General features: G+C 48.5%; 1 protein-coding gene across 5 annotated transcripts in view, besides 2 other annotated features; it reads left to right on the top strand.

Moving 5' to 3' along the window:
* The window catches only part of PITPNM3 (PITPNM family member 3), a 105,293-nt gene that overhangs the window by 35,330 nt on the left and 44,430 nt on the right, over positions 1-25,533 (top strand). For all 5 annotated transcript variants that reach the window (NM_001165966.2, NM_031220.4, XM_011524015.4 and 2 more), the window contains one exon: positions 17,652-17,699. In NM_001165966.2, the coding sequence (NP_001159438.1) occupies positions 17,652-17,699 (48 nt within the window). The remainder of the gene's footprint in view (positions 1-17,651; positions 17,700-25,533) is intronic.
* Positions 19,638-20,184: an enhancer, noted in NCBI's record as "H3K4me1 hESC enhancer chr17:6404362-6404908 (GRCh37/hg19 assembly coordinates)". NCBI's record gives its function as "activates a minimal SCP1, AML or CMV promoter by ChIP-STARR-seq in naive H9 embryonic stem cells {active_cell/tissue: H9 hESC(naive)}" and the evidence as "EXISTENCE:reporter gene assay evidence [ECO:0000049][PMID:30033119]".
* Positions 22,783-23,673: an enhancer, noted in NCBI's record as "H3K4me1 hESC enhancer chr17:6400873-6401763 (GRCh37/hg19 assembly coordinates)". NCBI's record gives its function as "activates a minimal SCP1, AML or CMV promoter by ChIP-STARR-seq in primed H9 embryonic stem cells {active_cell/tissue: H9 hESC(primed)}" and the evidence as "EXISTENCE:reporter gene assay evidence [ECO:0000049][PMID:30033119]".

Below are 25,533 nucleotides of genomic sequence, written 5' to 3'. Positions count from 1 at the left end.
TGGCCAGGCTAGTCTTGAACTCCTGACCTCAAGTGATCCACCTGCCTCGGCCTCCCAAAGTGCTGGGATTACAGGTGTGAGCCATCACACCCGGCCCATTTTAACGGTTCTTAAGTATACAGGTCAGTGGCATTAAGTCCATTCACATCGCTCTGCAACCATCACCACCAACCATCTCCAGAACTTGGTCACTCTCTGCAACTGAAACTGTGCCCGTCAAACACCAACTCCCCATTTTCCTTTCCCCAGCCCTTGGTAAACATCATTCTACTTTCTGTCTCCATGAATTTGACTTCTCTAGGTACCCTACATATGTGGGATCATTCAGTATTTGTCCTTTTGTGTCTGGCCTGTTTGACTTAGCATAATGCTTTCGAGGTTCGTTCATCTTGCAACATGAATCAGTACTTTATTCCATTTTGGGGGCTGAGTAACTTTCCCTTGTATGGATATACCACATTTTGTTTATCCATTCATCTGATGATGGACGTTTGGGTTGCTTCCACGTTTTAGCTACCATGAATAATGCTGCTACAAACATTATAAATATCCACCTGATTTCTTAAATGTATTCTCATTGGAAAAAATCAAACACAACAAATAAAACCAAAGTCTCCTTTAGTTATTCCTTCAATTACAGACCTCCTTGTGGAGTTGATCAACGTATCTCTCTAGAGGTCGATGGTATTAGACATTAGTGCTGCAACTTACCTCTTCCCTCACATTTAACAGAAGATCTTGGAGAGCTTTTCATATGGGTATATATAGATTCACTCTGTTCTCTTTACCTGTACTATAATATTCTCTACTATAGTTGTACCATAATTTATTTAACCATTCTGCAGTGATAGACATTGGAATCTTTCATTGTTATAAGAATGCTTTATGGGTTTAAAGTATAAGCACTGAAAATTGCAATAGATACTGTCAAATGGTTTTCCAAAAAACAGTGCAAATTTATATTTGCACACCAACCATGGATTAAGTTAGCCATTTCCCCACAATGTGTTACCAGATTTGATATTATCAAACTTCAACATTTTATGTAATGGTCGGGTAAAAACGTTTTCTTGTTTTGCTTTGTCTTTACCCAGTTTCTAGTGAGATTGAACATCTTTTCATAAATGTGTTGACTGATCATATTTTCTTTCCTCTGAATTTCTTAAACATAATTTTTGCCAATATGCTATTGGATTGTTTATCCTTTTTATTGGATTTTAGGAGATCTTCATATATATTCTGGAAGTAAATTATTAGTCTGCTATATATTTGAAATATTGCTACTTTGGTGACATTTCCTGTTGGTTCTAATAGTTTGTCAGTTGATTCTCTTGGGTTTTTTCTAGTTACAGCATCACATCATTTACAAATCTTTTCTTTCTTTCTTTTTTTTTTGGAGACAGAGTCTTGCTCTGTCACCCAGGCTGGAGTACAGTGGTGTGATCTTGGCTCACTGCAACCTCTGCCTCCTGGGTTCAAGTGATTCTCCTACCTCAGCCTCCCGAATAGCCAGGATTACAGGCGCCCGCCACCATGCCTGGCTACTTTTTATATTTTTAGTAGAGATGGGGTTTCACCATGTTGGCCAGGCTGGTGTCGAACTCCTGACCTCAAGTGATCTGCCCGACTTGGCCTCCCAAAGTGCTAGGATTACAGGTGTGAGCCACTGCATCCAGCCTTGTTTACAAATCTTTTTTTTTTTTTTCTGAGACGGAGTCTCACTCTGTCGCCCAGGCTGGAGTGCAGTGGCGCTATCTCGGCTCACTGCAAGCCCCGCCTCCCAGGTTCACGTCATTCTCCTGCCTCAGTCCCCCAGTAGCTGGGACTACAGCTGCCCGCCACCACGCTCAGCTAATTTTTTTTTTTTTTTTTTTTTTTTTTTGAGACGGAGTCTCGCTCTGTCGCCCAGGCCGGACTGCGGACTGCAGTGGCGCAATCTCGGCTCACTGCAAGCTCCGCCTCCCGGGTTCACGCCATTCTCCTGCCTCAGCCTCCCGAGTAGCTGGGACTACAGGCGCCCGCCACCGCGCCCGGCTAATTTTTTGTATTTTTAGTAGAGACGGGGTTTCACCTTGTTAGCCAGGACGGTCTCGATCTCCTGACCTCGTGATCCGCCCGCCATGGCCTCCCAAAGTGCTGGGATTACAGGCATGAGCCACCATGCCCGGCCTACAAATCTTAACAGTTATATTTTTGCCAGCATTTACTCTCCTTTCTTATTTTTCCTTTTAAACTGCATTGCATGGGATCTCCAGGTCAATGCAGAGTGACAAGCGGTAGCGGGCTTTCTGGTTGGATCCTGACTGTAGTGCTGTGATGGAAACGTTCCAATGTTTTACCAACAAACATGGCCCTCGCCCTAGGATTCCAGAAATGCCCTTCATCAAGTTGAAAACAATTAACTTCCGAAAGTTATGACTTCTTTCTCATTCCCCTCATTGTTCATTTGTGTTTTTCCCCATCCCTCCATCTTTCTCTTTCTCTCTCATTCTTAGTAAGTTTTGCCAAAGGCTTACCTATTTCGATGGTCTTTTCAAAGAAATAGCTCTTACTTTTATTAATCAGTTCTATTGTCTACCGTTTTCTCTACTTAGTTTTTGTAAATTAACATTGCTTTTATTTCATTAATTATTTCCTTCTACTTCCTTGGAATTTATGTGATTTGTGCTTTTCTATTTCTAGAGATAAGAGCTTTTTAATCTTATTTTTTAAATGACACACGCACTGTTCCCTTCCAAGGGAGGGTCCTAGCAAGGTTACCTTTTTTTTTTTTTGCTTTTTTACCCATTACCTTTTTTTGGTAAAATTTATAAAAGTAAGCTTTTTTGGGGGGATAATCTTTTCCTTAAAAGGGGACCCCAAACTTGTATAACCTCAGTCCCCAGAAAACCTGCATCCAGCCATGTTGGACACATTCCACAGGGTTTGGATAAGTAGCCCCCTCACTGTCCATCATGTCTACATAGTTCAAAACCTCCACGTTCTCCTCTTTACCCAAAGAGCTGTTGAGAGCCATGTACAAGAATCCTGACAAATAGATTTTTTTCTTGTTAATTAGCAATTTGATTCCACTATGATCGGACAATGTGACCCTAACGTGATATCTTTTTGAAATTCTTTCTTGTCTAAACCCTGGTCTAGTGTGGGTGTGTGAATGTTCCTTATGAGTTAAAAAATATATACATTATCTATATACTGTATATGTTGGGTTATAAATTCTCTATAAAATTAAAGATATTATCAATACAGTTTTCTCCTTCCCCTTTTCTTGTTTTTTATTGACACCATCAAATTTCTTATATACCTCCTTTTTTTGTAGTTCTAGAAACGTACAGTTTTAACATACATTTGAAAACTGGTATTTTTGGCCAGGTACAGTGGCTCATGCCTGTAATCCCAATACTTTGGGAGGCCGAGGTGGGAGGATCGCTTGAGCCCAGGAATTTGGGACCAGCCTGGGTAAAGAGAGTGACTCCTACCTCTACAAAAAATTAAACAACTAGCTGGGTGTGATGGCATGTGCCTGTGTTCCCAGTTATTCTGGAGGCTGAGGTGAGAGGGTTGCTTGAACCCAGGAGGTTAAGGCTGCAGTGAGCCATGCTTGCTCCACTGCAACCCAGCCTGGGTGACAGAATGAGCCCCTGTCTCAAAAAAAAAAAAATTAAAAATAAAAACTGGCATTTTCTACCAGGGTTTGGATTAAGTCAGTAGCTCTATCTATGCTATCCCTGAACAGGGAAGGATGTTTGTACCTTTTTTCTTCCTTCTCTTCCTAACTCCCCAGCTCCCATGGCCCCTGGCCATTTGGTTTCATGTTGCCAATTCTCATTTCAACTTAATGATTAGTTTTGCTGTTTTACTTTTGGGGAGGGTTTTGTTTTCTCATCATGGTGGCTTTGGCAGTGACAACTCCTCCGCCACCTCCCCCTCCTTCTCATTCTATTTGGGTTAAGTATTTTGAGCTATGATTTATATTCAGTAAAATTTGCCCTTTGTAGCATATAGGTCTCACTGCTACTTCCTCAATTTCCTGACTTCTTCTTGGATTTACTTTCTCTTTTCACTAGAATGTCTCTGCTAGTAATTCTTTCAGGTAGGAACTGTGGATAGCAATTTTCTAGGTCCTTGCATTGCTAAACATGTCTTTATTTTGCTTGCTCATTTGAATGTGAGCTTATCTGCCTCCATTATCACGTTCCCAACTATCTCTGCAGCTATTCCTCCATGGCCTCTTGAATTTAGTGATGTTGGTGAGAAGTCTGAGATAAATTTGATTCTCATTCCTTTGTGAGTAATATGGTTTTTACTCTTCCTGAAGATTTACGTTTTTAAATTTTTTTTTCTTTCTTTCTTTTTTTAATAGAGACAGGGTTTCAACATGTTGCCCAGGCTGGTCTCGAACTCCTGGCCTCAAGTGATCAGCCCACCTCGGCCTCCCAAAGTGCTGGGATTACAGGCATTTGCCACCATGCCCAGCCTTTAGGTTTTTTACATCTTTAGTCCTTGTATTCTGAAATTTCAAGCGACGTTTCTGAGTAGGTTTTTGTTGTGGAGGTGTTTGTTGGTCATGCCATACCTGGCTGTGCTCTTTCACTACTGTGAAGCCTTCTTTTCATGATTTCTTCAAGTATTTCTTTCTTTCTTTGTTTTTTTTTTTTTTTTGAGGCGGAGTCTGTCTCTGTCGCCCACGCTGGAGTGCAGTGGCACCATCTCGGCTCACTGCAAGCTCCGCCTCCTGGGTTCACGCCATTCTCCTGCCTCAGCCTCCCGAGTAGCTGGGACTACAGGTGCCCGCCACCACGCCTGGCTAATTTTTTTGTATTTTTAGTAGAGACGGGGTTTCGCCATGTTAGCCAGGATGGTCTCAATCTCCTGACCTCATGATCCGCCCGCCATGGCCTCCCAAAGTGCTGGGATTACAGGCATGAGCCACGGCGCCCGGCCAAGTATTTCTTTCTCTTCCAGAGACTTTTCTAACCACACGTTACCTTGTTCTTCTTATTCTTATTTCTTGGTCCTTGGTGGGTTCTGAGAATATGCTTTGACTCTAACCAACAGCTCACCCATTTTCTCTTCATCAGTCTCCATTCTGCAGGTCAGCTCTTCTGTATTTTGTTTTGTTTTTAGAGATTGGGTCTCATTCTCCTGCCTCAGCCTTCTGAGTAGTTGGGACCACAGGCCTGCACTACCACACCTGCCTAATTTTTTGTAGAGACAGGGTCTCGCTGTGTTGTCTTGGTTGGTCTTGGACTCCTAGGCTCAAGCGATCCTCCGGCCTCAGCCTCTCAAAGTGCTAGGATTACATGCGTATGTCACTGTGCCAGGCCTGGGGTTTGTTTTTTTGTTTGTTTGTTTTTTAAAATCATCTTTTCATTTTCATGTGCTCTGATTGATTCTTTTGATTAGCAATCTGATCTTAATTCATGGAAGCATGGGCTCATGCTACATTTTTTAAAGTCTCCTTCTGCTTGTTTTAGAACATTTCAGAGTTTTCTGTAGGTTAGATATGGGTGGGAATAACTACACACTTAAGATTGGATTATTCAGCCAAAGATCATAGGTGAGATTACAACACAGAGCAGGAGACATCTTGATTTGAATGATCTAAGGAGGCACACAGCTGCCATTAACACTATTCAAGTGAAGCAGGTCTTGCCAAATTCTTTTTTAGAAGTTGAGATATAATTCCCATACCATAAAACCCACCTTTTTGTAAAATGTACAATTCAGTGTGGTTTTAGTATATTCATGAAGGGATGCAACTATCACCATTATCTAGCTCAATAATATTTTTTCTTTTCTTTCTTTCTTTTTTTTTTTTTTTTTTTGAGATGGAGTCTCACTCTGTTGCCCGGGCTGGAGTGCAATGGTGCAACCTCGGCTCACTGCAACCTCTGCCACCCGGGTTCAAGCGATTCTCTGACCTCAGCCTCCCAAGTAGCTGGGATTACAGGTGCCCGCCACCAGGTCTGGCTAATTTTTGTATTTTTTTAGTAGAGACAGGGTTTCACTATGTTGGCCAGGCTGGTCTTGAACTCCTGACCTCAAGTGATCCGCCCACCTCGGTCTCCCAAAGTGCTGGGATTACAGGCATGAGCCACCATGCCCGGCCCAAGAACATTTTCATTTCTGAAAAAAGAAACCCCATACCCATTAGCAGTCACTCCCCATTCCCCTTCTCCCAGCCCCTGGTATTTCATATAAATGGAATCAAACAATATATAGCCTTTTGTGTGTGACTACTTTCCCTTAACATAATGTTTTTGGGATTCATCCACGTTGTAGCATAAGTCAGTGCTTCATTTTGTTTTATGGCTGAATATTACTCCATTGTATGGATATGCCATGTCTCATTTATCCCAGTTGATGGACATGTGAGTTGTTTCTACTTTTTGGCTATTATGAATAATGCTGCTATAAGTATTCATATGCAAGTTTTTGTGTGGATATGTTTTCAATTATCTTGCTGATATACATAGGAGTGGAATTGCTATATCATATGGTAATTCTGTTTAACTTTTTGAAGAGCTGCCAAATTCATTTCCAAAGTAGCTGCCCCACTTTACATTTCCACCAGTAATGTAAAAAGGTTCCAATTTCTCTGCATCCTTGCCAACACTTGTTACTGGCTGCCTTTTTGGATATAGCCATCCTAGCAGGTGTGAAGTGATGTCTCATTGCGGTTTTGATCTTCATTTCTCTAATGACTAATGATGTTGAGCATCTTTTCGTGTGCTTATTCATCGTTTGTTTATCTCCTTTGGGGAAATGTCTACTGAAATCCTTTGCCCATTTAAAATTTGGGTTGTCTTTTTATTGTTGAGTTGTAAGAGTTCTTTAATGAATTCTGGACACCAGACCCTTATCAGATATGCTTTCTCCCATTTTGTGGGTTGTCTTTATACTTTTTTTTTTTGATAATGTCTTTTGGAGTACTAAATCTTAAAATTTTGTTGAAGTTTGGTTTATCTATTTTTTCTTTTATTGTCTGTCCTTTTGGTGCCATATGTAAGAAACCATTGCCCAATCCAAGGTCATGAAGATTTACCCCCATGTTTTCTTTGTAAAGTTTTATAGTTTTAACTCTTATATTTAGGTCTTTTATTCACTTTGAATTAATTTTTGTGTATGGTGTGAGCTAGGAGTTCTTTTGAGTGTGATTAACTAGTTTTCCCGGCACCATTTATTGAAAAGACTATCTCTCATCCATTGAATTGTTTAGGCAGGTTTGTCAAAAATCAATAGATCATAGACATATGGGTTTATTTCTGGACTCCTAGTTCTATTCCACTCAGGTGTATATGTTAATATGCCACACAGTCTTGATTACTGTACACCTGCAGTAAGTTTGAAATCAGGAAGTGGGGGTCCACTAGCTTTGTTCTTCTTTTGCAAGATTGTTTAGCTATTCTGTGCTTCTTGCACTTCCATATGAATTTTAGGTCGATTTCTGCAAAAATGCCAGTGGGGATTTTGATAGGGATTGTGTTGACTCTGTAGATCAATTTGAGGAGTATTGTCATCTTAACAATATTAGTTCCAATCCATGAACGTGAGATGTCTTTACATTTATGTAAGTCTTCTTTCTTTCAATGATGTTTTAAAGTTTTCAGTGTACAAGTCTTGCACCTGTTTTGTTAACTTTATTCCTAAGTATTTTAGTCTTTTTGATGCTAATGTAACTGAAATTGTTTTCTTAATTTCATTTTCAGACTGTTTATTGCAAGTGTGTTGAAATATAATTGAGTTTTGTATATTGATCCTCTATATTGCAACCTTGCTGAACTCATTTTTTAGTTTTATTTTTGGGGGGATTCTTTAGTACTTTCTATGCATAGGATTACATCGTCTTTGAATAGGTAGTTTTACTTTTCCCTTTCCAATCTGGATAGCTTTTATTTCCTTTTCTTATCTAATTTCCTTAACTAGAGTCTCCAACATAATATTGAATAGAAGTGATGAGAGCAGACATCTTGTTTTATTCCTGATCTTAGGGGGAAGGTTTTCAGTCTTTTACCATTAAATATGATGTTAACTATGAATCTTTTGTTGTTGTCCTTCATCTAGTTGATGAAGTTCCCTCCTATTTCTAGTTTGTTGAATGTATTTTTTACCATAAAAGGGTGTTGGATTTTGCAGGATTTTTTTTTTTTTTGCAGACATGTATTGAGATGTTCATGTGGTTTTTGTCTTTTATTCTATCAATATGGTACGTTACATCGATTGATTTTCACATACTGAATAACTTTGCATTCCTGGGATAAATTCCACTCAGTCCTTGACAAAACTTGTTATCTCACTATTCTTTTATGCTTGGGGTTTATATATCTCTTCTAGGATAATGTATACTAACAATCTATGAGCTATCATTTAAGGAATGATTTACAATCTAGGTTCTTCTTGTTCTTAAAACAAACAGTGTCAGCAAGGCCACGTTCTTGTTGACAGGAAGGAAGCAGTCACTGCCTGGGTATCCCTGATTAATTTCTCTGCCTCTAGCATTCCAGAGAGCTATTTTTTCCTACCATTCACCCCCTGACTCTGGTTTATGACCTTGTATCTCAATACACGCTTCTCAAAGAGTGGTCCCTGGACTAACAGCATTAACATCTCTTGGGAACTGGTTAGAAATGTGACTTTGGGGGTCACATTTCTAGACCCCTAGACCTACTGAATCAGCCAAACTCTGGGAGCGGGGCTCAGAATCCACATTTTAACTAGTCCTGTGATTCCGATGCACTAAAATTTGAGAGCCACTAATGACCATGACACTAAGTTGGTTTAAGGACTCCACAGGTCCAATTCCCTCTTCCCTTCAGTCACTGAGTTGGACATCTTCCTTCCACATTGTTGGCTTTTATCTAATATTTACTAATATTTGTGCACATGCCAGTTTGTGTTTGCAGTTCCCTGTCAGCCTATCTATCTCTGAGTGATAGGAATATGTCTGTTTACTGAAACCTGCTGTCATCGAATTATTGGAGAAGGTAGAAAATGTCACTGGTGTGAGTTGAGCCAGTTGCTTCTGTTTTATTCCTCTTGGGTATTTTCAGCTTTCCATGGTGTCCTGTCCTTCAAACACTCATCCTTTCTCACACTTTGGGACAGATGCTTTGCTTGGCATAAGCAGGGGTTGGGGGAGGACCAAGACACCTGGCTCCTCTGCTATGGAAGCCCAGACAATCGATCACAAGAGCTTTCTTTGCTTCTGTATTTTTCACCCATAAGCCTGCTGTTCCTTCTGTGCTGCCTCCATCACTGGCCACAGACCTTTCTTTTTTGAGATGGAGTCTCGCTCTGTCGCCCAGGCTGGAGTGCAGTGGTGTGATCTCAGTTCCTTGAAACCTCCACCTCCTGGGTTCAAGTGATTCTCCTGCCCCCCATGGCTAATTTTTTAAATATTTTTAGTAGAGATGGGGTTTCACTATGTTGGCCAGGTTGGTCTCAAACTCCTGACCTCATGATCCACCCACCTCGGCCTCCCTAAGTGCTGGGACTACAGGCGTGAGCCACTGTGCCTGGCCAAGCCACAGACCTTTCTTTGCAGGCTTGAGGTTATGGTTTTCTTTCTCCTGGGCTAGCCTTGTGAGCATTTGTCCTTTGCAGTCACACAAGGCTCCACACACTTGATTTTCTACTCTACTGTCGCCATCTTGAAATTTTTAATTAGTTTGAACAAAGGGACCCACATTTTCATTTTACACTGGGCCCTGAAAATTATGTAACCAGTCCTGCCTCCCTCCTTAGATCTCTCTGCCTTCTAACTTTTGGGGATGCCACACAGTTTCTGGTCTGCTAAGGACACTTCTTATTTTACAGTGCTACTAAAGATTAATTCACATAAAAATGCTTGATGTCATTTTCTAGGGATCTGGAGGAGGAGAAAAAGACTAGATCGTGTAGTCAGTTTACCATCTTTATCCAATCCTACCACGACACTTCTAAAATAGAAATCCAGTCCTATCATTCTGCCACGAAATTGGCAAGTAGGTCTTTGTTGACTGCAGTATGAAGTATAGATCCCCCAACCTGGCACCGAAGGCCATCCACAATGTGGTTCCAGCCTTCCTTCTAGCAATCATAAATTTCCAGAGTTAGTAAGTTTCCTATCACTACAGGAATCAAACAGCCCTGGGAGAGCTACCATGAGGGACATAAAGGGGCTGTCAAATTGTTGCTAAACCCAGTAATACCAAGGTTATCTCTGATTCTGATATTCATGGCTTCCTGGCCATCCCTCCCCTCCTCTTCCACCCCCACTGTCTCCTAGTCAAATGGCCAGGGGGCTGCTTGCAGAGAGATCCCTGGGCTCATGCGGAGCTCGTCAGCTTCCTGCCTTTGCCCCGGCTCTTCCCCTGACTTCATCTCTAGCTCCCACAATCCCATGCGCTGCCTCTGGGAAGCCTCCTTGATACTCCAGCCTCTCCCAGACCACTGTCCTCATGCCCAGCACAGCTGAGTTGGTCTCTTGTCTGTAGCACGGACCACTCTGCTGACAGCTGTGCTTTTCTGGGTGTGTCCCTTTCCTCCCTGTCTGAGCCCAAAGTGGTGAGGGGCTCACTGTGCACTCATACATTCCTTCCCTCACTTATGCATGCAATGCACAGGAATGGACACTTACTCTGTGTCAGACCCTGTGCTGGTCACTGCAGGGGACACACAGATGACTCAGAAGTGGACTCAGAATTGACCGGCTCCCAGACGGGGGTGGGGCAGTGACAGTCCAGTGAGCTAATTGCTCTAACAAGATGGGGAACAAGGCACAGAGGGCTGAAAGAGGAGGTAGCGCTGGAGCTGCCACATGAGGAGGTAAGGAGGCTTTGCTGGGGTTGGGACAGACCAGTGAGGGCAGAGGGAGCTGCAGGGACAAAGGTACGGAGGGAGGTGTGGGAAGCAGGGAGATTTGGAGAGTTTGTCTTGACTGAGGTTGGACAATCTATGAGGTTGTCATTCCTTAAATGACAGCTCATAGATTGTTAGTATAAATTGTCCTGGAAGAGATATAAAAACCCCAAGCATAAAAGAATAGTGAGATGACAAGATTTGTCAAGGACTAAGCGGAATTTAGCCCAGGAAGGCAAAGTTATTCAGTATGTGAAAATCAATCGATGTAACATACCATACGGATGAAATAAAAGACATGGGAAAGACGTAGAATAAAAGGTATGGGAAGAATGGAGATTTGGGGAGTTTGTCCTGTCTGAGGTTGGGGTGTGGAGCATTGGGCTGGGGGTGAGGTGTGGAGCTAGGGGGTGGTAAAAAGGGGTGGGAGGTCTTGGAAAAGAGGCAGGGGTGGAAAAGCTGGAGATGAAGGCCTTGAATGCCAGGCTGAGGAGTTAGGGGCCTTCTTGGGAGTGCCCCTGTGGATCCACTGAATGGTTTAAGCAGGGGAGCGGAGAGCCACTTTTTAGAAAGATTATTCTAGAAGCCAATGTGGAGGAGAACAGGAGGGGCCGGGGAATGAGTGCAGGGGCTTACGCTGGGCCAGGTGAAGGGTAATGAGCGTGAGTCTCAACCTGCAGCTCAGGGGAGGCTCCATGCTGGGAGTGGCCTGAGCAGGGAGGAGCATGCAGGGGAGGCTCCATGTTGGGAGTGGCCTGAGCAGGGAGGGAGCATGCAGGTCTTCGCTCCTCAGCCAGGCTTCATGAGCAAAGCCACCAGTCTGGCCCGGAGCCTGGCCAGGGCTCCCAATGCCCAGTAAGGGGAGAGCCCAGGGCAAATTCCGGCTTCAGCGGCTCCTGTCTCTGCTCCAGAGGGGCTGTTCCTGACACTTTCTGGTTTATCAGGAGAATTCCCAATTCTTTATTCTCCAAGGCCCCGTCTGTCTGAATCACTCTCTCCGCAGCCACCAACTCTCCAGTGTGATGCAGGAAGGCTCTCCTGTTTCAGAAGTTTGCCACACACTTTGCTGTTCTTGGCCACACACTTTGCTTCTCTTGCACTTGGGGAACTCATGATTTGTTGGGAGGGGATTGGAAGAAGAGTTATAAAATCACTCAGGAAACCGTTAGCGGGACTCAGAAGCATCTTCTCAGAAAAGATGATGTGGCTCAGCCTTCCAGGGCTGTGTGAGTTCAGGACAGGCAAGATTGGTGGGGCCCAGAGCCTGGGGTGCATGACAAAACTCTGCCTTCCCAGTTCCTTGTAGCCCATCCTGTCTGCAGGAGTTTCTGGCAGCTCCTCCACTTGAAACAAGCTCCAGCAGAGGCAAAGCTGTCAGGCCCATGAGCCTTGCAAAGCTCTAGGCTAAGTGGGGTCTCATTTAGGTGGCAGCTGAGCCAGCTGCACAGTTGGTTAATCACCCTCGTCCTGGGAGCCTGCTAAATCAGGAAGCCAGGTTCAAGCCGGCTCCTCCCTCGCTGGCGGTTTCCAGGGAAGATGGAGCTGGCTTGGACTGGGCAGGCAAGCCCGGCTTCCTACTGTCCGGGCGCCACACTTACCTCATCAAACAGCAGGCTTATTCCTGACCCCGTCGGTGGCCTCACCAGCCCTGGGAACCCTGGGATGCCTGGCTCAGGCTGCGCTGCAGGAGAGACGAAGCCCGAGGCAAACACCAGCCAGTCCCCAAGCCTCTGGACGCATCCTCTCTGCACCCCTTGCAAATGTCCCCTTCTCTGCTCCCGTCCTCCTCACCCCTCAGCCCCTGACTGTGGCAGCCTTTCGCTGTCCCATGCCTTCCTCCTCCAGGAAGCACTACCCAGGCTGCCTGAGCCGTCCTGGGAAGCCACTGCTCTAGGAAGCCCCCGACCAATAGGAGGCGGGGTGAAATTGTGGGAAGAGCCCTTCCCAGTATTGGGGTGTCCAAGGGACCAGATCTCAACGTTGGGGAAGTGACTTTACCTCGCTGAGGCTCAGCAGCCTTATTGCATAGGCATGGAAGCCAACGATTTCATGTGCGGGAAAGCACTAGGCAAGCCAGAAAGCACCTGCGTGCCCAGGTGCAGCCTTCAAGGCTTATGCAGCTGAGGCCGCACTCAGGGCTGGCTTTGAGGAGTCCCAGAGCTTGGTCCCGACCTCCTTTCTGACATTTTCCCTCTTCTTACCCACGTGAAGCTTGCGCACTGGCGTTTCCAGGACACTCACCTCCTGGCCTCTTGGCACCTGGGTCCCCGAGCTTCTTCCGGCCTCTGAACTCTGCATTCCCAGCAACCCCAGCTGCATCCCCAGCAACCCCAGCAACCCCAGCATTCCCAGCAACCCCAGCTGCATCCCCAGCATTCCCAGCAACCCCAGCTGCATCCCCAGCATTCCCAGCAACCCCAGCTCTCATCCTTGCCCACCTCCCCAACTTTCCCACCTCCCCACCTCTGGACATCCTGCCCAGGCTAAGTCATATTTACACCCTGGTAATGAAAGTATTGGATGGTCTGGAGAACTCATAAACTGTCTCCGTGAGTACCGACTATGGACTTGGCATGAGAATGTGGAGGTAATGACTCAGACCCGGCTCCTCCCTGCGCTGGAGTCCTCCCCTCCTCCAGGGCCTGACACATAGTAGATGCCCGAGAAATGCCAGAAGTGTCTGTGTTATAGTCAGGGCTCAGGGCCAGTGCTCCAGAGGGCTGCAGGTATTGGGTTTGCTGTTCTGAAGTCCGAATGGTGTTATCTTCAAGTCTGTGTTTTTGTGTTTTGTTTTTTTTTTTAAATGGAGTCTCACTCCGTTGCCCAGGCTGGAGTGCAGTGGCACTATCTCGGCTCACTGCTACCCCTGCCTCCTGGGTTCAAGTGATTCTCCTGCCTCAGCCTCCCTAGTAGCTGGGATTACAGGCATGCGCCACCACGCCCAGCTAATTTTTGTATTTTTAGTAGAGACGGGGTTTCACCATGTTGGCCAGGCTGGTCTCAAACTCCTGACCTCAGGTGGTCCACCCACCTTGGCCTCCCAAAGTGCTAAGTTTACAGGCGTGAGCCACCATGCCCGGCCAAGTTTGTGTTTTGTGAGTGAAGTCTGACGGGACAGTGCATATGTGTGGGGGTACTTGGTGGGCGGCTCTCACATGGTCCTGCCTCCTGCCGCCTTGAAGCCTCCTGGGATCTTGGCCTGCTGCTCTCCTGCCCTCTGGCTTCTCAGCCCCACCCCCACCCAGCTTTCTTCTCCTTCCCCTGCCCATGGACAGCCGCTGGCCTCCCTCCAAGCCAGAGCCTGGGAGCAGGCAGGGCTGAGGTTAGGTGCTTATACTCCACCATGTCTTGGGGCGAGGCAGCTGTCCCCACCCTGGGCTGGCAGTGCCATAGAGCATTCCAAGGGTGATTCAGAGGGAAAAAACCTCTCACTCAACTAGTGCGTTTCAGCATGGAGGTTGCAATACTCTTGTCTACCCTGGATGGGGCCAGCAGGCCTGTGGGAGGGGTGCATGCTTGGCTCAACTTTCCAACTGTCACTCACAGCATGGTTTGTTTGGCCCAGTGGCTGGCAGGAGGGGGATCCTGGGTGCTGGTGGAGCCTGTGTGTACGTGCCAAGCTAAGGAGCAGGGACCCTGGGGCCTGGGAGGGCCTGCACTCATCCCTCAAGTCTCCCTGGGCATGAGGAAATACAGTAGCAAATAGAAAACACTGGCCGGGCGCGGTGGCTCACGCCTGTAATCCCAGCCCTTTGGGAGGCCGAGGTGGGCAGATCACCAGGTCAAGAGACTGAGACCATCTTGGCCAACATGGTAAAACCCCATCTTTACTAAAAATACAAAAATTAGCCGGGTGTGGTGGCGGGTGCCTGTAGTCCCAGCTACTTGGGAGGCTGAGGCAGGAGAATCGCTTGAACCTGGGAGGCGGAGGTTACAGTGAGCCGAAATCGCACCATTGCACTCCAGCCTGGTGACAGAATGAGACTCTGTCAAAAAAAAAAAAAGAGAGAAAGGAAAAGAAAAGAATAGAAAGGAAGGAAGGAAGGAGAGAAAGAAAGAAAACACCATAACAGGTTTTAGAGCATCCTCAGGGAAAAGGAAAAATGTTATATTTTAGTACCTTTAGCAACATTTTTTTTTTCTGTTTGAACAAGGGACCCGGCATTTCCTTTTTGCATGAGGCCTTCCTCATTATGCAGCTGGTTTTGGTGGAGTATGATAGAAAAAGCAGGAGGTTTGGATTTGGAAGAGTCTGCAAGCTCCTTCACCTCTTCAGGCCTTGGTTTTCTTATCTGTAAATGGGCTTCCTGCCTTCCTTCCTTCTTATCTGTAAATGGGACCATGCTCTCTCACACCCCCGCTTTGCCTTGAACTTGGCATTCCATAAACATGATCTTGCTGGCTGCTTGGAATGCCATGCCCTTTCCTCTACTGTCAAAACTGAAATCTCTGCTCTGGCACAAGCTTCCTTGGAGTCCTCAGTCAGAATGAATCTTTCCCTCCCCGTCTCTCCCCGCCGGTCTCGCCTCTCATTGCAGTTAGCCGTGTGCTTCTCTGCACAGAGGTGTTCTTGCTCCTCACTCACTCTGACTTCCTCATCTCTGTATCCTCCATGGCCCCTAGCATGGGGCTTGGCCCATAGAAGGCGTTTTTTGAATGCATGTCTTATGTCTTAATTTCTCTGCTAGGCCCCAGCTCTGCTGGGTGGTCAAAGTTGACTTCTTAGGGACGCCAGAGTTTCATGGGCCTTAGCTGGTGCTCAGACATGGTGCTGGTCTTCGCTCCCTGACCTGTGTATTGGATACTGGGTCATTCCTTGTTTCTGTCCACATCTGTGCTGCTGTTGCACCTGGGAAACAGTCTGCGTCCATCCTATTGTGCTGTGTGGGGACTGCTCTATGACGGTGTCCAGGTCTCTGTTCTCTATCTGGGCCCCTCTTGGGCCTAGGCTTTGTCACGGCCCCTAGGTCTAGGGAGTGCTGTGAGCTGGCATCTAGCATTAACCATTGATTGTCTCTATCTGGCTGCACCTGGGATCATGATGAAGACAAAAGGGACAAGGTCTTGAATCAATGGTTAGAAGTAAACAAGTAAATAAAACAAGAATCAGAGCCATCCTCACTTATTGAACACCTGTTTTGTGCCTGACTGTGTTCTGAAGGCTTTACATATATATATATATATATATTTTATTTGTCTTCTTTTTTGGAGACGGAGTCTCATTCTGTCACCCAGGCTGGAGTGCAGTGGCGTGATCTCGGCTCACTGCAACCTCCACCTCCTGGGTTCAAGCAATTCTCCTGCCTCAGCCTCCCGAGTAGCTTCGGGATTATAGATATGCGCCACCACGCCTGGCTAGTTTTTGTATTTTAGTAGAGACAGGGTTCCACCATGTTGGCCAGGCTGGTCTCAAACCCCTGACCTCAGGTGATCCGCCCACCTCTGTCTCCCAAAGTGCTGGGATTACAGGCATGAGCCACCGTGCCTAGCCGGCTTTACATATATTAATCATTTAATATCCACAGTAACCCTCCGAGGCAAGTACCAGTACTATCCCCATTTTATAGATTGGAAGATTGAGGCATATACAGGTTGTGTAACTTGCCCAAGGGTGCATGGTTCGTAAGTGAAGAAGCTGGCATTTGAATCCAGGTATCCAATTATAATGCAGTGTCACTCAAGGGCTTTCAGGACCTGGAGGTTCTTAGCGAGCACTGGATCCGTGCTATCTTGTAGGAATGAACCCAGAGAGGGAGAGTGCTGTGCCTTACATCACACAGCAGGCCAGAGGGAGCCTAAAATGGAGTCAGCCTCCAGATTCCAGCTGGACACTCTTCCCATTGTTTACCCCTGCCTGCTTTTGAGAGAGCCCGGGGGCCATGACCCCAGGATTCAGGGGACGTGGGCCATGAAGATGGCCCTGGCAGGCAGAGGGCTACAGAAACAGGGTGATGGATTCTAATGAATCCATCTGGAGAACACCTGGAGAAGTTCATTCTGATGAACACCTGGAGAAGTTTCATGTGAGAGGCAGGCACGGGGTTGTGAGAGGCAGGCATGGGGTCAGGAGAGGAGTCATCTACCAGGCCCTGGAGTGTGGGCTGTGGAGATGGAGGAGGTTCTTAGACTGGAGTTGCCCTTCAGTTCTGTAGGGGAAGAAATGAGGTAGCTTTGCATGGGGAAGGATTCTCGAGTCCCTTGGGGAGACCAGGAGGTGACTTCGCTTTCTGCCTTGGAAACCTTCCTCAGAGACCTGGGGCCCTAGAGGAAGCCACAGACACATTTTGGGAGGGGCCGCAGACTTCTAGGGAAGCTTTGGTCATGGGGAGTGTGCAGTGTTTGGGAGTGGCCACAGAAGACGTCTGGGGGGCAGTGGGATATGCAGATCCAGAGCTAAGGGGAGAGGCCTGGGCCAGAGGCAGAGCCCTGGCAGTGGTTTGTGGGCTTGGAGTTCAGTGTGGACCCTCAGAGGAGAGAGTGAGTATAGAGAGGCAGGCAGCTCCTGGGAAGCCGCTGCTTTATAGAGGAGGGAGGAGAGGAGGAGCTGGAGGACAAGACAGAGGTGAAAACGCCTGAGGAGGCAGAGGAGCCAGGCCGTACTCTCCCCAGAAATGGCATCAGGTGTGGCATGAAGGGCCAAGGGCTAGGTCAGGTCAGGGCAGAGCAGGGCATGAAGTGGTAGGAGATACTTCTGCCCATCCCAAGCTCTAGAGTGAGGGTCAGAGGCAGCTCCAAGCAGCCTCCCTGGGAAACACAGTGCCTGGCAACAGTGTCAAGGATCTGCTCATGTTTCTTTTCTTTTTCTGCAGGAGAAGGGACCGCGCCGTGCACATCCAGCATCCTCCAGGAGAAGCAGCGTGAGTCAAGCCTGACCCTGTGGGGTCATTTCTTCCCCTTGGATGGGTGCAAGCTCATTGAGCCTGGGTCCCCTCTCATCCACTCAGAGCCTGAAAGGATGGCAGGATCCCTGCCATCTTGCCTGCAGGCAGTACCGGAGGGCCTGGGGTCACTCAGCCTGAGTTTGGGCCCTCTCTAACCCATGAACTGAGCCTCCTCGGGTTCCTGAGTTCCTATCACTGGGCAGCTCAGGCCAGCTCATGTCCCCCTCTCTGGGGACTCCACAGGGCCAGAGTGAGGGGTGGGAGGCTGGTGGGTTGGGAGTGTGAGCTCAGCAGAGCAGCTGAGATCATGGCATGAGGACAGAGAGAGGAGGACGGGGATGGGGAACATGGCCCCTGTGCCCATCACTTTTGGGTGACACAACTTCCAGGAACCACTGACGGTGCCATGGTGACTGACATGACTGAATGAGGTTCAGAGACACTTCATTCCTGGATGTGCCCGGGGTGATGATCCTCAGTATTGCTCCACGAAGAGGCTACCTCTCTGCAGAGCCCATGGCCCTGTGGCTGAGTCCCTGTCCTCTGTGTTATACAGGCGTCTCCAGGTTTCCTTCCCCCTGTGTTTTCTCAGAGAGATGAGCACAGCATTGGACCTGGGAAAGACCTGGTCGAGATGTGGCCATTTGCTGACATAGTGACCTCAGGACATCTTCCTTGGATGTTCTGGGAGGACTCGGTGGCCAATGTCTGGGCCAAATGTCTTTGCTGTTGGCAGTATTGACTTCCATATGTGGCTGGGTCAGGAGAGGACTCCATGTGTGTTTGGGGTGGGGTTGTGCTCAGAACTTTCCTGACTTCTCTCTCCTGCTCCTTTGATCTATGGTTGCAGCTTTGGGGGACCCAGTCCACTCTGCCCACCACCTCCCTGAGCTCAGGCCTGTGGCTGCTCTGCAAGCTCTTCCATCCTTCAGTTGCTGTGCTGAGGTGGAAGGACCTATGACACCAGCCTTCCTATGGCCTGGAACCCAGCCTTGAGTGGCTGCACAGGCATCCCCTGCCAGAGAATCTTTCTCTTTTTTTTTTCTTGAGACAGAGTCTTGCTCTGTCACCCAGGCTGGAGCGCAATGGCACGATCTCGGCTCACTACAACCTCTTGAGCTTCCCGGGCTCAAATCATTCTCCCGCCTCAGCCTCCTGAGTGGCTGGGATTACAGGCGCCGGCCACCATGCCCGGGTAATTTTTGTGTTTTTGGTAGAGATGGGGTTTTGCCATGTTGGCCGGGCTACTACTCTTGAACTCCTGACCTCAGGTGATCTGCCCGCCTTGGTCTCCCAAAATTCTGGGATTTTAGGCGTGAGCCACCACACCCTACATGGAGAACCTTTTTCTGCTTCTAGCATTCAATGGCAATTTCATAGACAAAGCCCTTCAGGGGCTGGTAAGTGTGAATGCCTTTGTCAGGGGCACCCCAAGGCTCAGGCCATAAGGGCATCAGGCCATGGAAAGGGCAGGGCAGAGAGAGGGCAGTTCTCTTTCCTGAGCACTCGTAGGGGTGTAAGGAACTGAGCTCAGCACAAGGGGAATGTGTTAAAATTACCTGTGGGTCTTTAGTGTAGAGGTGACTGAGCATGTGGAGAGGCTCATGTCATCAAAACATTTTCAGCTCAGGTTTTGAGAGATGGGGCCATTCCACACCATGCAAGGCCACGGGGGAAGCACTTGGTTTGGTCAGGAGACAGAAGGGCCAGGAATCCAACTCAAGGCTGGATTCCAGGCCATAGGAAGGCTGGTGTCACAGGCGCCTCCACCTCAGAAAATAGCAACTGAGGTATGGAAGAGCTTGCAGAGTGGCTGCAGACCTGAGCCCAGGGAGGTGGTGGGCAGAGTGGACTGAGCCCCCCAAAGCTGCAAGGCCCAGAGCCCTTGTTGGTTTTTTCTCTGGAAAGGCAGGGCAGAGCAGGAGAACCATGCAGGGCTGGCTGATTTGCATGTCGAGGGCTCTGGGCTCTAGGCTCTAGGGCTGGTGTCCCGTTGCCTGGTAGCTGGCCTTGGGTTGATTTAGGGCCAGGGAAGTATTGGCTTGGTGGGTGAGAGTTAGAGAAGGTGGTTGGGGATATGGGTTTGGGCCTGGTTCATTTGCCTATGAAAGGTGCCCTCAAAGGGAGTTGTTATTACCTCTAGGAATTAGCCAGCTCTGGGAGGGGCAGTCTCTTCCTGGCCAGCGAGGCCCCAGAGATGTCAAAACATTATAAAATAACAAGCATGATGAATATAGGGGTGTCACCCCATTCCCCAGGAATGCAGAAGAGGAAAAGAACCAATCATCTCCCCTTCTGAGCACCTGGCCAGAGGAGACAGCGGCAGCCCCGAAGCAAAAACAGCCACCCGACATGGGGCTTGTCTCCGGGATGCCAAACCACAGCTCTGTTTTCCACAGACACAATTGAATTGATGAGATGTTTAGTGACCTCTGGACCTGGCTGAAGAAAAATGTGTGTTTAAGTAGTTAGAATTCTATTGCTGAAGGCTGTCATCAAATTCTGCTCCTTAAGAATGTTCTTATTGGGCTGGGCGTGGTGGCTCACACCTGTAATTCCAGCACTTTGGGAGGCTGAGGTGGGTGGATCACCTGAGGTCAGGAGATCCAGACCAGCCTGACCAATATAGTGAAAACCTGTCTCTACTAAAAATACAAAAATTAGCCAGGTGTGATGGTGCATGCTTGAAATCCCAGCTACTGGGGAGGCTGAGGCAGAAGAATTGCTTGAACCCAGGAGGCAGAGGTTGCAGTGAGCCAAGATTATGCCATTGCACTCCAGCCTGGGCAACAGAGTGAGACTCCATCTCAAAAAAAAAAAAAGAGTGTTCTTATTTAGCAAAGAATGACAGCGTATGTGCAGATGAATTTTGGAGCTGAAATGGTACCTTGGAGGTTGTCTAGGTTGGGGATGCCCAAATGAACCCAAGATTTTCAGCAGTGAGAAAAACAATAATACTGTGATGTATTTTTCCATAATGTTGAGTGCATTCAATTGAGAGGACTCCTTTTCACATAATTCTACAATTATGTCCTGCCCAGTTTTGGCATTAAAATGCTTTTTCTTTTATGAAATGATGGTGACGATCGATGGTAATGTGTTTATTTTTAATGCAAAATTGGCAGAAGAAAAAATCTGTGACCTGAATTAAAACAAGAAGAATCGCAATGGCTTGCATTTATAATGGCGCTTTTCCACATAAGACAATTTGCATGCAAGTATACTTTATTTAATAGTTCCACTGGATTTTTGAAAACTCACTAAAAACAAATTGCGAGGTGGTAAAAGTTGCCCTGGAACCAGGAGTCAGAACATGCTGGGACTGGTGTGATGGTGTCTGGGGTTGCAGGTTTGGAAAGGCCTGGGTTTGACACTCAGCTTCTCTCGTCTAGTAGCTGTGACATTTTGGACAAGTTACTTGATGTCTCTCAGCCTCAGTTTACTCAGTTGTGGAAAGATGACCATACTGTCGTGCCAGGTGCGGTGGCTCATGCCTGTAGTCCCAGCACTTTGGCAGACCGAGGCAGGCAGATTGCCTGAGCTCAGGAGTTCGAGACCAGCCTGGGGAACACGGTGAAGCCGCATCTCTACTAAAATACAAAAAATTAGCTGGGCATGGTGGCATGCGCCTGTAATCCCAGCTACTTGGGAGGCTGAGGCAGGAAAATCGCTTGAACCCAGGAGGTGGAAGTTGCAGTGAGCCGAGATTGTGCCACTGCACTCCAGCCTGGCAACAGAGTGAGACTCTGCCTCAGAAATAAAATAAAATATAAATAAATAAATAAATAAATAAATAAAAGAAAAGATGGCCATATCATCTACTTCTTAGAGTTGCTGAGGGCACCAGAGATGATATCTGTGAGATACTAGGATCCGCACAGGCTGGATAGAAAGTTCTGATGGTTGTCACTTGTTACTGGACGGATGTGCCTTGGAAGCTGGAACACCTGGTCCCCATGTGATGATGAATCTTATCAAGTGGGGCTCAGTCTTTCTGGCGCTCTACTGGTCCTGCGGCTGCCTCAGTTGCCATTGTCACAGCAGTGTTTCCCCAAGAGTTGGAGTCCCCAGAGAGGAGGACATGAGCCAGCCAGACAGCACAGGGCCTCTTGGGTTGCAAGTGTGGGGAGGGAGGTCTCCATGGGCCTCTCAGGCATGCGCAGGTATGAGGTTGCAAGGGCTTGTCTGCAGTGGCTATGCGGGGAGGGGTGTCTTGGAGACTTTCTCCTTTGTGGCTGCCAGGCAGCCCCAGCCTTCATTGTGCAGTTGGGCAGGCGGCCTGGCAGCCTGGCAGCCTGCTGTCACTGGCGTGAGCCTGATATTTGAAACCAAACTAGAGGAAGCCAAGGGAACCATTGTGTGTGGGGGCTTGGTGGGGGTCCAGAGAAGAGAGAGGGCCTTGGACTTGGGGGAGGAGACCTGGGTGACCTACTGCCGAGTTGCTGTGCAGTCTCAGCTCGTGCCTGGGGCCCCATCTGTCTGTTCATGGAGTCCCTCCTGGTTCTGACATTCTCGGGGTCTTCTGTTGCCACCTCTCTGTCCCCTGGCTTCCTCTGTCTGTGCCTCTTTCTGTTTCTGCCTTGTTCATGCTGCTCCGTTAGTTAGCACAGTGACCATTTCCGGAGTGCTCCCACTATACCTGCCATGGTGCTGGCTGTAGGGACTCAGGGATCTTGTATGTTTCCATTGAACCTCACTCTTTCTGTGCTTCCATCCAGTGTGAATGGCACCATCCTCCATGAATCCAAGCCAGAAACCTTCTAGACTTCTCTGTCTCTGTCACCATCCACTATCAAATCAGCCTCTGCTAGTGTCATTCAACCTCCAGCAGTGCTATGAGACCCACCCACTCCTCCCTGTCCCCATCCCTTCTCTAGTTGAGGCCCTATCTTCTCTCTCCTGGACCATTGCATCCTCCTGTGCACTGGCGTCCCTGCCTCCCTGCCTCCCGGCCTCCCTGCCTTCCTGCTTCCCATCTCACCCACTCTGATCCTCCCTTCAGCGTGTCAGAGAGACCTTTGGAGGAGGAAAGGCTGGTTCTCACAGCCCCTGCTTTCTCTCCCATGGATCCTCTCGAATGAAGCGTGAACCTTGCCTCCATACAACCTTACCCGACCACTTTCCCCTCTTCCTGTCAGCTCTCCCGTTTCCCCAGGCTAGCTCTGGGAGGAGCGTGGACTCTCTAAGCACAGTTTTCTTGTGGGCTAATTGGGAAGCCTGAGCATACCATCCATCTCTGCGGAGGAGACAGAAGCAGTTCCTCTGCAGCAAATGGTGGGAAGGACCAGGGTCCCTCTGGACCCCGCACTGTTGGCCTCTGCCCTTGTGGCTCCATTCATGGCTGCTGGGCTCACACGTGCTGAATCCAGCAAGCCCGGCTCACCCCTCCTGCTGCAATATGCCACCACCATAGAAGAGGCAAAGGGTAGAGCTGTTGTCTCAAAGGGGCAGTAACTCCCCTTCCTCTGCCCACGCCCCCATCCAGGAACGTCCGGTGGGAGGAGGCATGACATTCTCCCAGGAGACCTGCGGCTGCCTCACCCGCTCCATGCCTCTCCCTTCCAGTCTCAGCAGCTCCACGAGGGGCAGGGCTCCGCAGTGCACAGGCTGGGAAAGTGCGAGTTGAGAGGAGCCTCCCTCTGCCCCACCCCCATGCAGGATGGGTTGGGGGGCAGATTCTACAGCAGGAAGACCTGTCTATTGTGGCCCTTGAAGTTGGACCCTGCCTGTGTGGATGACAACAGCCACCTGACACATGTGACCCAAAGCCATGCTGGTCGTCTCATGGCTTTTCCAGAGCCAGCGCCTGGCATCAGCTGCAGGGGTGAGGGCCGCAGGCAGCTGTCCCACGTGCGGGGAGGGTCTTCCCACAGCCACGTCCACACATTAGAGCAGATGCTCTGTGGGGCTGTGAACTTCCTCTTGTCCCCAGAAAAAGACCTGGCAATGGTCCACAGAGTCCCAACCCTAGTCCCAGTCTGACCCTTTATCTTCATCCTCTACTGAGCCTCTCTCCTAGCCACCAACTGAGCCCCAATTTATCCCCAGCTGGGTCCTAACTCCAGCCCCTGGTCCTGGACTGAGCTTGGGTCCTCGGCTCAGATGCAGAGAGATGTAGATGGCTCAGCTCACCTCTCCCCATCGTGGGCATGTGGTTTGACTTCGCACCCCACTGCCTAGGGTCAGTGACCAGAGGAACAGCTCTGAATGCCCTGACCAGCCACCGAAGGGCTTCCCTTCCCACATACCCTCAGCCCCTGGCCTCCCCAGGAAGACCCCCCACCACAGACAGGATGCGTGAAGCCCCTTGCCCACGGCTGGCCTCTCCACTCCTCTGCCTGGTAACTGGTGTCTTTTCCTGGCCTGTGTGGGCAGCTTGCTGAGCACAGCTGCAGACAGGCTATATTTAGCCAGCTTTAATGAGCTCAGGGTGGCAGACGTCCGCCTTGGGAGCACTTTTCTTGCATGTGTGTGTGTGTCTCTGCTTGGCATCGTTCCTTCTCGTTTGTGTGTGTGTGCCCTTGCACTTGTATGTGTGCATTAGCCTCTATGCCAACGCATTGGTGCATTCACTTTCATGAGGATGTGCATTAGCCTCTATGCCAATGCATTGGTGCATTCACTTTCATGAGGATGAGTGTGCGTCTCTGTGCGCATATACAAGTCTATCTACATAGCATCTGGGCTTTGCTGGGGCACGTGCAGCTTCCGACACTTATAGGGGTGCAAAATGGGAACAAATGATTAGTTCATTCACCCATCTGTTTAAAAAATATTTAATGAGCACCTTTATATGCCAACATCATGATAGTCTTTGGGGATAAAATAGAGCAAAATCAAACCCAGTCCCAGCCCTTAAGGATCTTGTCATCTGGGAGACGGAGGAGGGGAAGATAATAATCAAATAGTCATAAAATGAAAAGCGTGAGGATTAACCCCAGGAAAGAGAGGACCGTGGCGCTTTTGTGGAGAGGACAGGAAGAGTGGAAGGCCCCCGGAAGGAAGGAACACTGAGGTTCCTGTGGGAATTATCTGGTCACGGGGCAGTGGAGAGAAGAGCCCAGGCCCGGGGAACATTTGCTGGGACTCTGCAGTGAGAGGGAAAGGGGATGTGCGAAAACTGGCTGAGTTCAGAGAGGGAGGGGCGAGTGTGGGAGAGCGGAGCAGAAGGCGGGGGCTTGGTCAGGATAAGAGAAGCCTGGAGAGGGGTGGTGTGGGAGGAGGTGATGGGATTTGCATAGAGCACTTAGGATCCAGCCCGTGATGCAGTCAGGGTTCTAGCAGGAAACGGAAGGCTCACACAAACCACAGGTGGGAGGAGGGCTTAGCAGAGAGACTTTATTCACAGGTGAGTGAGGCTTTAAGGAAACCAAGAAGGCATCAGCAATACCCTGGGGTTGTTCCCACCCCTGAAGGAGAAGAGCCCAGAGAGGCTCCTGCATGAGCCTTCAGCAGAGACCACCTTACGATGACCCGGCATGGAGGGGGCTCCCTTGCCCCAGTTCTCCTACTGGTGCTTTCCATCGCTACACCCAACCTGTAGCTAGGGGGCCTCGGCCTCGGGCTGAGTCGGGCAGAGATGGGGCACTGAGGCTCTGGAGGGGCAAAGAGAGACCTCACTGCACAGTCTACTTACTTCCACGTGGAAGAATCGCCCTTTCCTTTGTTTTTCTGTAAGCCACTTTGATTTTGACTGTACATTCCCTTGCAGCTGTGCTGGTGAAGGACTCCTCCTCCTCTGTGTGTCCAGGAGCTTCTCTTTCCTCCCTCTCCTGCCATCGCCTCAAAACTCCAGGGGTCTTCCCAGCAC

This window comes from Homo sapiens, chromosome 17 (genome assembly GCF_000001405.40).
Source record: "Homo sapiens chromosome 17, GRCh38.p14 Primary Assembly".
Taxonomy (NCBI): domain Eukaryota; kingdom Metazoa; phylum Chordata; class Mammalia; order Primates; family Hominidae; genus Homo; species Homo sapiens.
The sequence above is the reverse complement of the archived record's forward strand: the minus strand, read 5'-3'. Positions and strand labels throughout refer to the sequence as shown.